This window comes from Homo sapiens, chromosome 7 (genome assembly GCF_000001405.40).
Source record: "Homo sapiens chromosome 7, GRCh38.p14 Primary Assembly".
Taxonomy (NCBI): Eukaryota; Metazoa; Chordata; class Mammalia; order Primates; family Hominidae; genus Homo; species Homo sapiens.
The window spans coordinates 24,018,080-24,031,547 of NC_000007.14; the positions used below are offsets into that span (position 1 = coordinate 24,018,080).

Here is a 13,468-nt window from a genome sequence, read left to right on the forward strand (position 1 = left end):
GTTTCCACTACTGGAATGCTCTGGATGTAGGTTTTCACTTGATTTGCTCATTCTAGTCATTTGGATCTTATTTCAGACTTGATCATCTTGTTAAGTAGGCCCTTTTTCATAGCAGTTACTTGAAATTATCTCAGGCATTTATTTATTTTCCTATTTACATCTGTTTTCCCTCTTAAAAGACATAAGCTCTACAAAAGAAACTGGCTTGTCTGCTTATTCACAGTTTCCCTGCCCCTAAAGCATTATTGATATTTAATATTTGTTGAATGAATAAACATTTTCATATAATTGCATTTATAAGAATGTCTTTCTTTTGGTTTCAAAACTGAATAACAACTGGACTAGGTCTGTCTTTCCATTTAAAATGGGCTCTGAAGCTCTACGAGGTTCTAAACATGGATATGAGCTTCAGGAGGATCTGTGAACCTTTTGTAATTGTTATGCCAGAGTGTTGCACAATTGTGTGTTCATTTTTGTTGTAGTTTATAGCTTTCATCATCTACTTGATGGAGCTCATGTCTAAGAGCTTAAAAACCACCAGTTATTTTTCTGTCATTTTCTAGCATTTGTATTTGCAGAAGAGATGGTTTACTTCCTCTGTGGGTAACCAGGTTATCAGATTTGGTGTTTTCCAAAGAAAAGGTAAGAGCGGTCTGCTTTCATTGTCTGCTTGGTGCTAGTACAATCTCCCTCCCAGTTCTATACCTGCAGCCTAGTTGATGTCTCAGTAACTAAAACACTTCCCACTGTCTGGCAGACACTCATCTAGTGCAATGATTTTAAATTGCTTATTTTTTTTCAAGAAGCCTATTTCATATATGAAAAATTATGCATAAGCTTGTTATTGCAAACAGGAAAAAGCGGACTCGCCCTGACTGAATTTCGGAGATGTGCTGAGCCCATTCTTTGACCTGTCCTTTCTCCCTGTAGTGGGAGATATTTTTGGGGAATCTCAGGGCACATAGCATGTTTAAAAAACACTGATTCTGGCCCAGCAGGGTGGCTTATGCCTGTAATCCCAGCACTTTGGGAGGCCAAGGCAGGTGGATCAGTTGAGTTCAGGAGTTCAAGACCAGCCTGGGCAATATAGCAAAATTCTGTTTCTACAAAAAATGCAAAAATTAGCTGGGCATTTTGGCGTGTGCCTGTAGTCCCAGCTACTTGGGAGGTTCAGGTAGTAGGATGGCTTGAGTACAGGAGGCGGATGTTACAAGTGAGCCTAGATTGCACCACTGCACTCCAGCCTGGGCAACAGAGACAGACTCTGTCGGAAAAAAAAAAAAAAAAAGGAAAAACACTGATTCTGCAGGGATGACATTGGTTCTTCTCTCTTACCACTTGCTCCCCACCACCAACCTGGTCATGATCTTTTCATGCGATACAGGGGAAAAGAGTCTATGCTGCTCCCAGCACCCTACCATCCCTGTTTCTACCTAGACCCTGTCATGTGTAGGGACCCTACCTCTTGGAATGCAAGGTGTTTCTATGCTCCCCTTCCTCTTTCTCTTCTATTTACTTCTGAGTAATGCAGTCTTGGTTTCTAAATGGATATAGGTTAAAAGGTGCCATTGAGGGTATAAAGGCAAGATCCAAACCCTACCTGTCTCAAAGCATCCTGCAGAGCCTGGGGGTGGTTGTTGTTTTCTGACACTCTGCTTCTCTGGGTCAGGGAAGACAGAGGGGGAAGGAAGGCACAGTCTTTTCTCAGCCTCCCTATGCAGAAAAGAGTTAGCAGAGTAGAACTAAACTGCTGTCCTTGAAAAGGCCTGCTTCAAAGGGTGGCCCTTGGCTGTCATCTGGGAGCTTAGATTCCCACTATGAACTGATAAGAGTGGCTCACTGTGCCCATTTAACTGTTTTTACACACAGCGTGGTTTACGCCGGACACCTCCTTTCCTTCTGAGAGTTTACAGTTTGGGTATGTGCCAGGCAGGGGGTTGCATCTGGGGACATCCCCCAATAAAAGCCTTGGTCATTGAGTCTAACAAGCTTCCCTGGTTGGCTGCATTTCATACATGTTGTGATGACTTGTTGCTGCGGAAATTAAACATGCCCAGTGTATTTCCACTGGGTGAGAAATCTTGGAAGCCTGTGCCTGCTTTCCCTCTTGCTTCACCCCAGGGGCCTTTTGACTTTGCTGAATGTGCTTGGTACCGTTTTGTTGTTATAGATCATACCTCTGACTACAACTATATGCTGAGTCTTTTGAGTCTTCCTAGTGAATTGTCAAATCTAGGGGAGGTTTTAGGACCTCCTGACATATTGCCACTTTCAGACTAGCATGGCTGTTGGTTTCAAAGGGCAGAGTGTTTGTAAACCACCAGCCAATTTTCTCAAGCAAGCTCCATAGGCCTTGAAGCTGGTGGGCATGCTCCCAGATTCTGGCAAAAAGTTGCTAACTTGTTTTTTGCCTCTGTGGTTATGTAATTTAGTTTTTAATTTTTATGTTTTTCTGATGTCTCCATATGTATTTTAGCAGAAAGGAAAGATTGTATCAGAGACTCATAGCATTAACACTGTTGAAATCACAATTTTGGGCATCTCACACTTTAAAATTTTGAGAGATGAGAGAATTTGGCTTATTCTGGTTTCTATTTTATTTTTATTTCTCATAGTGGGTTGAATAGTCCAAGTTCTAACCTCCAGTACCTGGGACTGTGATCTTATTTGAAAGCAGTGTCTTTGAAGATAGTATTAAGTTAAGGCTCTTGGGATTAAATCAACCTGGATTTAGGGTGAGCTCTAAATTCAATGACAGAGGGTTATTTAGAGACATAGAAAGGGAAAGTCTGGATGAAAGTAGAGGCAGAGATAGAAGTGATATGTTTACAAGCCAAGGAATACTAAGATTTGCTAGTAGCCACCAAAAGCTAGGAGAGAAGTGTGAAAGAATTCTCCTTCAGAGCATCCAGGAGGAACCACACCTGCCAGCACCTTGATTTTGGACTTCTGACCTCCAGAACTATGACAGAATATATTTCTATTGTTTTCAGCCACCTAGTTTATGGTATTTTGTTATGGCAGCCTTAGGAAACAAATACTATTCTTGATGCTTGGAATAATCCCTGGGAGAGGCGAGTGAGGAGGGAAGCCCTGACTTGCAGGAAAGGAGATCTGAGCAAAGTTTGAGAAGGTGTAAGCCACTTTCGAAAAATGTACAAATGAGCCCCATGTGGTGATTAAACCCCTCAAGATGTAGTTTTCATCTTATTCTAAACTGCTTGATCTTGAATGCCAGATGTTCTGGGTACTCCAGGCCTCTCCTCCATCATTGCATTTTGTTTGGGCTCAGAGACCCTGCAACTCTGGTCTACCTGGGGCATCTGACTTTGATTTCAACTCAGACTCTAAGAACATTAGAGAACTCCAAGAAAGGGCATAGCTGCTTGAGCAGCAGGAAGAGCTTATTCCAACCCCCTATTACGTGGCCCCACCTCCCACTACAGACAGGCTCCTCAGGTATGCATTTTTGACATCCAAGCTCTTAAGGCAGAAGTCCATCTGTTGGAGTGTGATGGCGGCCAGGAGATAGGGAAGACCGTCTTTACCCCATGACTCATGGGCTTTTACTTCTCAGTGAATGCTCTGCAGGCCTGAGGGTCACCCAGTATAGAAAACAATGGGTGCAATGACAGGTGCCTGTTTCAGACCCATTCTAGATGCCTGGCCTTTACATAGTCTCTAAAAGTGGCCTTCTTAGAGAAGGCATGGAACTGCAGGGTCAGGCCTGCTTGCCATTTCCCAGATGCTTGAGGAATGCCTTACTTGGCATGGAGACTTCATTGTTTTATGACTCTGTTTCTTGATGTTGTGGATGTTGGTTAAGAATCAGCAAATAGTTCTTTTCTTAGCTGTCACAAAGGCAAGGTGACCATTAGCAATTGATCAGTGACTCCTTCCTATCCTATTGGAAATCCTCTGACCCTCGAACTCTGAAATTCTTTTGTCCTTCCTCATATTGGCCCAAAGACTTCCCTTGCCTTGTTTTGATGTTTGCTCCACAAGAATATCTGGCTATTCTGGCCCCTGTCTCCATATTCATTTTCCTGAATGGGATTCTTTAAACCTGTGGCAGGGACTTTTTGTTCTCTCCCCAATATCCATTCTCCTTCCATTCTTTACCAGAATTCCTGTAGGGCATTTGTTTTTGGAAGGCAGCCAAATCCTTAGCTGAAACAACTATATTTCCCAGTATTCTTTGCTGGGAAAGGAGTGGCCAATGAAATATAAACAGAAGGCATTGGTTGGAACTTCTGAGGAAGCCTTGCTAACGACACTGGTGCCATTTCAGCCGTGCCTACCACTATTCTTCAGGCTTAGAGCACAGCATTGTACGTGCAGCCATCTTGGGCCATGATGCCATCCTTGAGGATGCAAACCATGCACTAAGGATGATGGCACGGAGAGTTGAAGAAGGCTGGTCCCCAAAGACCCTGGGGCTTCCTTTCCAGTCCTGGATCATCAACCTCTGAATTTCTTTTTCTTCAGTGAAAAATATCTTCTTTATGCACCATTATTTAAGGTTTCTAATATATGCAGCAAAACTTAGTCCTGATTGGCTAACCCTCCTCTTTCTCTAGGTTGGAATATTTTGATTATATTTGTCTTTTCTCCATTTATATTTGCCTAACACAGAGAAATTCATTTAATAATCATACAATAGGTAATTAACATTTCACCAATATTATCAAGTATATGATTGCATCTAATGTATTCCACAATTCTAGTTAATAATTATGTACCAAAATAGGTCAAAATAAAATAAAATAAAATAAACAGCAAGGCACATTGCATGTGTGATTCCTAAGATAATTGTATCCCATTATATTTAGTTTTTAAGTTTCTTATTTGAAAATTTAATTTAATGAAGAAGATGTATGATGTTGGAATGCTACCTATGTCACCATCTGGCTCCCCATAGCTGCCTGTCAGTACTAGAAGCTCAAAGTGGAGCCATATGGGCCATTTCTAAAATAAGTTTTTGCCTTTTAGACAGAATGGTGGCTCAACTTTGAGGCTCAATTTTTGTGGCTCATAGGATAAAGGATCAATTACCACCTATAAGCTTTTCTGCACAATTTATATAAATAAAAGATTATTACTGCCAAATGTATCTGGTCTTCATGACTTACAAATGGAAACAGAAAGAATTGGGGACCATAACTTGAAAGATGGCTTCACAGATTCACAGAATAAAAATTATGTATGCTTTTTTTTTTTTGAGATGGAGTTTCACTCTTGTTGCCCAGGCTGGAGTGTAGTGGCGCAATCTCGGCTCACCACAACCTCCACCTCCTGGGTTCAAGTGATTCTCCTGCCTCAACCTCCCAAGTAGCTGGGATTACAGGCACCCACCACCAGCCACCACGCCCAACTAAGTTTTGCATTTTTAATAGAGACAGGGTTTCACCATGTTGGCCAGGCTGGTCTTGAACTCTCGACCTCAGGTGATCCGCCCTCCTCAGCCTCCTAAAGTACTGGGATTACAGGTGTGAGCCACAGCGCCCAGCCTTTTTTTTTTTTTTTTTCTTTTTGAGATGGAGTCTCACTCTGTCTCCAGATTGGAGTGCAGTGGTGTGATGTCTGCTCACTGCAACTTCTGCATCCCGGGTTCAAGCGGTTCTCCTGCTTCAGCCTCCCGAGTAGCTAGGACTACAGGCGCGCGCCACCACACCCAACTAATTTTTGTATTTTTAGTGGAGACGGGGTTTCGCCATGTTGGCCAGGATGGTCTTGATCTCTTGACCTCATGATCCGCCCACCTCAGCTTCCCAAAGTGCTGGGATTACAGGTGTGAGCCACCGCGCCTGGCCTATGCTTCTTTTTATTAACCTTTGTTTTAAAAGAACTCTTGTGTCAGTTAACTGGAAATTAAAAACTGAAAGTGGGGATTTATTTCTTTTTCATTTTCCGTATCTCCATTCTCTAACTGATTATTCATCTTTAGTGAGACATAGCATCCAAAAGCCGCCATCCGTAATTTATGGTACTTTTTGCAGAGTGATTTCTGTCACATTAGTAGAAATTTGTCAACAGTTGCTTCTCCACAAGAGGAATTTTTAAAAGTTGTTTGTTCATTTGCTGAAGCATTAAAAGATAAATGAAATCTCAAAGAAAATTACACACACAAAAAATACAGGGGAAAAAAATCTTTAATTTCCCTAATTTGGAAAGTTTCTAAAATAAATCACCTCTCACTAATTATAATTCAATAAAAATTAAACTGCTAATATGCCCCCAAACATAAAGAAAACATGAAGGGAACATGTTTACAATGAATCAGTTTCAAGGTAGTATCAGTTTTAGATTTTCCCCTTGAACAGAGATGGCAGCTGTTAGAAAGAGTGTGTTTGTGTGGCTAGTTCCCTGAAGAGCCCATCAACTTAGTAAGCACTCACACATTCCCACACTTCTCTTTTTGTTTGGCACAAGAAATCCATGCAGATGGTAAGTGGAAATTAGCTACGAAGGGGAGATAAAAGGTCCATAGTTTGAGATGCAATTCCCCTGAAAATAATGGGCAATCACCCATCATATATTTCTTTGCTTCTCTTAAATGGGACAAACTTCAAAGTGACACGGACAACTTTTCAAGAATGCAGTGCCTCTGAGGCTGACATAAAAGGCTTCTTTTTCAGGAAGCCGTGATGTTTGTGTGTCTCTGCCCTTCCATGACTCCGTGTTCCATCTGTTCAGCCTGGGTGCCTTCAAACCCTCCAGCAGTCACTGTGTTCTGGGTGTTCATCTTGTTGCTGGTGTATCGTCAGATTTAGGGCCTTAACAATTCTCTGTGTCTCCTCCAGCTGGGCAGATTGCATTAGGGGGTGGAGCCCCAGGCATGATCTGTCTGTCTCTGCAGTGCCCCCAGTTATGCATGTTGTGTTCCTCTAGAGTGAGTTTCAGCAAAGACGAGTGTGTCTCTTTTGGTTTGTGTCATGGACAAATGGCTTCTTTCAGGGGGGTATTCTTCAGTAATCTGTTTCCTCACTCTGTGCCTGAACTCTATAGCCAGGTGCTAAACCTAGCCTTGAAAACTGAGGAATATCTGCTCTTAATCCTGACCTGTGAGAATCACTGGTGGTAGCATAAAGGCCTTGGTGCCCTATGAAGCAACTAAACTTTCCTTTGTATTTCAAAGATGACTCATTTGGTACAGTTGTTGGGTTAAGTTTCAAATGACATGTGATGTTTAAAATGCTTTCCCCCCCGGGATGAGCATGCTGGTCCCTGAATAGTTTTGCTTTTGTACTCAGAGACTGAAGGAAATTGTTTCTGTTTTGAGCCTGTGCTTTAGTCTCCCCAGTCCAGCCTCTGCACCTAGGTGGGAGTTGGGAGGATTAGGAGAGGGAACTGAAGAAGCCCACAGGAATGGAATGTGTTAGAAAGCTCTAGCACGATTTCTGGAGATGCAAAATAGACACATGTGAAATGATTTGGAAGGAAGCAATAAATTCCAAAATGTAAGCATTAAGTGCAGAAAGATCAACTTTCAACCGTAGTGTTTACTGTGGTAGCAGGGAAAAATGTAGAGGAAGTGGAGCTTGAAAAGCAAGAGAAGATGCGGGATGGTATTTATGGAGTGGAGACTAGCATAAGCAAAGTTCAGAGGCAAGGGAGTGTCAGCATTGGGTTGACATCAGACAGCATTGCCATGGATTGTGGTGGGAGATGACACAGAGATGTTCCATAACAGGGAGAGGGAGGCCAGATGCCTTTGGGAAGAGGGTACTTCTTTAGGTAGCAAGCGAAATGTCCTAAGAGAGAGAAGAGAAGAAGAGAACAGTACAAAGGGGAAAAGACGGTTTTTGCAAGGAGTTCAGGCCATGTGACCTGAGGGTTTCACGGTAAGAGGCAGGGTACACATAGCTGACTGAAGGGGGTAGCATTCTAAGTAAGGCATGACCCAGGCCATCCAAAAGCACCTCCTCAGATTACAGCAAAGGAAGTGCTTTACAGCACTGAGGAGCCCATTGGAGATAATCTTCTCCCACCTCCAACACCCCAGGCATCATAATAAGTGGTATCAAAAATGCCATCAGCTTCCTGAGCCAGCCATTGAATTAATGTTGCATTAGGTTATTTCAACTTATTACTATAAATTTCTAAAAGAGTTCACATTCAATATTTCATGTATTCTCAGAACTCTAGGTAGGGAGAAGTTATTACTAAACAATGCTCTGAGGAAATTAAATCACTGTGGTCACTCAACTAATAAGTGAGGGGTTAAATCTGGAGCCTGATCTTTGTGACTCTAAACCAGTGACCCAGGAGGCCAGGTAGACAGGATAGTTTTGAGGCAGGAGGCTTTTTCAAGTGTAGGCTCTCTGCAAGTGTATATATTCATTCTGTTTGCTAAATATTTTCATTTCTCCTTCCTGTCAGGCACATGGCATGATTCCACTTCTTGGCTCCCATGTGAGTACTTCTGGCCAATGAGTTGTGAGCAGATGTGTGTCACCCCTAGGTGAAAGTGACTGCCTGCCAGCATGAGAGCCTCCTGAGCTCTCTTGCTTTCTGCCCCAGTGACTGTCAGGCTCCAGATATTGTCTGCCTGATCAGCTTTAGGTCCCAGAGTATGTAGACAAGGAGCAGAACTCCCAACCAACCCATAATGAGCATGTATCATGAGGGAGAAATGAACCTTTGCTGTTCTATGCCACTGGGAGTTTAAATTGCTTAGCGCAGGAGAACATAGCCTGCCCTGGCTGAGATACCAAGTGTGAGGTATTGACAGCCTAGGCAAATAATGGAGGCAGAGGAAATGGGAAGCAAGAGATAAAGACTAAGGAGGAACATGTAGAACTTCATAAATGATAGAATATGATTATGTAGGAGAAGCAGGCTTTGAAGACAATGCCGAAGTTTGCAGTCCAGGTACAGGAAGAATGGAGGTGACTTTGGTTTGACGATAATAAACTTAGCATTTCTTTACTTAAAAAAAATGAAAATAGCTCCTGACCAGATTTTAAAAGCAAAATATACTAATCATAAAGATTCAAGAAATACCAAAAATTATAAAGAAAAAATTAAAAATTGACATGATTTAACACACCTCAATAATGATTGTTTGCATTTTGGCTCACATACACAGACATGCTTGTTTATGTATGCTTATAAACATATTTGGAAAAATTATAAACTATTTGACATGTACATGAAATGGATGTACATATGAGGCATTCATTAAAAAAAAATTACTGACTACCTATCACTAAGCAGGCAGTAGATTAGGTGCTGGAGTATAAATGTTAGTGAATGAGTTACCATTTATTTCCTCAGGGAGCTTAGGGACTAGTAAGGAAAATTCTCATCTATAAGGGAGCAATTGGAAATATGGAATTGGAGTTTACTGTGGTGCAGATTTGGGAATTTCAGGCCACAAACAGCAGTTATGGCTCAGGAATGACTGATTTTCCAGAGGGAAAAGAAGACAAGTAAAGAGATGAAGACTTCTTCCAGGAACCTGAGGTACTTCATTGTCTGCAGAGATGCCTCATCCTACACCCCTCAGTCACTCATATCTGGATACATTGGACCTTGTCAACATCAATAATGGACATACCTCTGATATTTGAACTCTGAATCTCACTCTGTGACCACAACTTTGTATCTTTCTAAGTCTTTAATCTTCAACCTCACAGAACTCTTCATACCCTAAAATATAGTATTTTCACCTGGTCTGTCATCCCCTTTTGTGCCTTCATTTTTTTTCCTTACCAAGACTGGTTCCCATGGTGATCCCATGAATGACTTTATCACTAATAACCACAACTCGCATATATTTCCCCTTTGTAACATGCTTGTCCAGCAACTACTTCAATCCATTCTACAGTCCACCTTCACTGTCTCCCTAGACTGAGGAGAAAGCATGAGAGTGTAAATTTAAGGTTTCCAGTTTGAGCTGGTGGCTGAGAACCTCAATTGCTTGCTCATTTAATAAGAACATACTGAGTGTTGACTGTGTCAGGATAGACACTATGATATGTTGGTGAACAAACCACATAAGAACTCCTGCCTGTGTGGAGTTGATATTCTAGAGCAGACAGATATACAATAAACAAATAAGTAAAATATACGGTATATAAGATGGTGAACATGGCATGGGGAAAAGTGGGGTGGGAAATGGTACAGGGAGGGCTGGAGAATAAATAGAAATTTCAAAGATGGTTCACTGAGGAGGAGTTGAGTGAAGACTTGAAAAGGGGAATACACTATGCAGGTAATCTGGAGGAAGAGAACAGGCAAGGGGAACATTAAATACAATGGTCTTGAGGCAGGGGAATGCCTGAAATATTTGAAGAGTAGCAACTTTGGAATGGAGTGAGGGAGGTGGCTAAGAGCAGGAGATGAGGTCAGAGAGGTAACAAAAGTCATTTTGTTTTGGACCTTGTCAGCCATTGTAAGAACTGTGGTTTTACTCTGAGATGCAAAGTCATTTGGAGGATTTTGAGCAGAAGTGTGATATGATCCAACTTATTTTTTAAAAGGATTGTTTGGGTTGCTATGTTGAAAATAGTATTGGGAGGAATGGGCAGAGGTTTGAAACAGAGAGACCAATTACAGGGTCATTGCAATAATCCAGAACAATGCTTTTGAGTAGTAAAGGGGGGGTGAAGGTAGTGAGAATTTTTTTAACTGTGTATATGTTTTAGAAGTTGAGTCAAGAAGATTTTCTTGCATGGATATGTGAAAGAAAGAGAAATCTCAGAAGTCAAAGATTTTGGCCTGAGCAGTAAAAAGGATAGGGTTACTATGAACTGAAATGGGAAAGACTGAGGAGGAGCAGGATTTGGTGGTGACTTCAGTAGTGGGTTTTAGATTTGCAGAGTCTAATGACTTTAGACATTCAAATGGACACCTTGAGAAAGTTCCATCTCTGGAGTTGAGGGAGAGATTCTTGTGAGAAATAGAAGTTTGGGGATTGTCAGAATGCAGATGTAATTTAAAATCGCAAGAGTGGATGTGATCCCTAAGAGAATAAGGGTGGATAGAGAAGAGAACAGATCCAAGGATCAAGCCCACAGGTACTTGAACATTTAGAGATCAGGGACTCAATGGGGACCCCATGAAGAACGATAAAGAGAAATGACCAGTGAAATAGAAGGAAAATCAAAAGAATGTGGGGTCCTGGAAACAAAGCAAAGAAAGTGTTTCAAGGAGGAGAATCACCTGTGTCAAATATTGCTGACAGGTTAAATAAGATGAGGATTGAGACTTAGTCACTAGATTTTGCAACAAGAAGGTGACTGACTGTATGATTGCATTTATATGTAATGATCAGACTAGGCAAATCCATACAGACAGAAAGTAGGTTAGGGCTTGCCAGAGTCTGGGGGAAGGAGGAAATAAGAAGTAACTGCTGATGGGTATGAGGTTTCTTTTTGGGACAATTAAAATGTTCTGGAATTAATGTGATGGTTGTACAATCTTGTGAATATACTGCATAATTGCACACTTTAAAATTATGAATTTTATAGTATTATGTCAATGAAAAAGATAATGGGAGAAGAGGAATTGGGCACAATGCATATAGACAGCTTTTCCTGTTTGGCTGCAAATGGGAGTAGAGAAGCAGAATGGTGGATTGAAGTGGATATGAAATCAAATTGGAGGAAGTTAAAATAGGTGTCCTTTTGGAATGACTCAGTGGAGAGGGAAAATTTGGTGATACAGTAGAAGAGGGGAATAGCTGCTTTGGCAATGTCCTTAAGTAGACAACAGTGGGTAGGATTCAGAGAATAAGTGGAGGATTTGGCCTTAGATAGGAGTGGGGGCATTTCCTTTAGGAACGCAATGAAACATATAATATGTGGTACAGCTACAGGTAGATGAGTACATGTGGTGGAGAGAGGATGTGGAAGTTCTCTTTAGCTGACTCTAGTGAAACAGGAACAAAGTTAGCTGAGAGTGATGATGGAAAGAAATATTAGAGATTTGAGGAGAGAAGAGAAGGTATAAAATTTTCATCTGGAAGATGGGAAGATTGAATAGACCCAGTAAATGTCATAGAAGTGTTATGCAACTCTAAGGGTCTACTTAAGGTTTGTAGTCACCAATTTAATAGACGAGTCAGCATGATCATGTGGTTTTCTCCAACAAGGCTTGGTTTGCTTGGATGCAGGTATAGAACAAGTAGAAATTCAGATCTAAACAAGTTAGGAGTTTTTCCGTGTGAGTTCAAGAAAGCCGAAAGTGAAGTGATGATAACAACGGACTGAGAAAGGTAAGCTAGGAAAGGATGCAAGTGAGAACATGAAGACATGGAGAATAAGATCAATGCCTGAAGGGCCAGTGGGATTGAAAAATTGTTAGAGGAGGGTTGCCTAGTGAGCAAGAAAGGTAGTGGGTGATGGTCAGAGAGGGAGATTGTTGAAACTGAGATTATGAAGAGGTTTCTGTTATTGGTAATGACAAGGCTGAGGCAATGACCACGGAAATGGGTTGCTGATATGGGGGAGAACAAGGTCATTAAAGAGGTTAGACATGAAAGCACTTGGTGTTAGGGCATCATCCACATTGCTAGGGTCTGAATGTGTCCCTCAAAATTCATGCATCGAAACTTAATTACCAATGTGATGAAGAGGTGGACATTTAGGAGGTGAGTAGGTCATGTGGGCTCTGCCCTCATGGATAGGGTTTATGCCTTATACAAGAGGCTTCAGAGATCTGCCTCCCACTTCCTTCCGTACTTGCCTATATGAGGACACCTAGACAGCACCATCTATGAGGAACAGGTCCTCGCCAGATACTGAACCTGCTGGTACCTCATCTGGGACTTCCATCCTCCAGAACTGTAAGAAATAAATTTATAAATTTCCCGGTCTGTGGTATTTTGTTGTAGCAGCAAGGATGAACTAAGACACACAAGGATGATAACAATGGAAAAAAAGTAACAAGATTGTGTTGGTGAGAGTGACAGTGAGCTGGTAACTACAATCTTAGAACACTAAGAACGAATGACCTGGAAGGTGTAGCTAATTGCAATAAGGAGGGGAAAGTTGGGGATCACCTGTTGATGTGAGTGCAAAAGCTGTTTATTGTTTTTTTAAGAGCAGAGGAGGGAGGGACGAGCATGGTCTTGAAACAGCAAAAAACAAAAAACAAAAAAACAAAAAGGACTCTACCTTATCTCCATGCCCAGTGTGGACAGCTGGGGAGCTAGGAAATAGCCACCACTTGAGAGGGCCATGGAGGAAGCAGATCTTGGGCAGAGCATGTTTTAGTAAAATAAGCAGTGAAGGAAATATTCCAAGAAGGGATTTTGATTATGATTGAACATGAATAAAGTGTCAGTGAGGCCATAGTGAAGTGTTTCAGGAGTCAGGGAGAAGCAGGAGATGAGGTCAGTGTGAGCTGTTGAGAGCTGTATAAGGCATGAGATTAGTTGGGTGTCCTGGCTGGGCTTGGTGGTACTGGATGCAATCAGGCATAAAGGGCACAACTGACAATCAGCAGTGTGTGCTTGTGG

At 41.7% G+C, this 13,468-nt stretch overlaps 1 long non-coding RNA gene across 1 annotated transcript; it reads left to right on the plus strand.

Annotated features, from left to right (window-relative positions):
* Positions 1 to 539: 539 nt before the first annotated feature.
* On the plus strand, positions 540 to 9,770 carry LOC105375188 (uncharacterized). The gene is made up of 3 exons (XR_001745008.2): positions 540 to 642; positions 8,383 to 8,415; positions 9,419 to 9,770. It is a non-coding gene; the product is annotated as an uncharacterized LOC105375188 (long non-coding RNA).
* Positions 9,771 to 13,468: the final 3,698 nt, after the last annotated feature.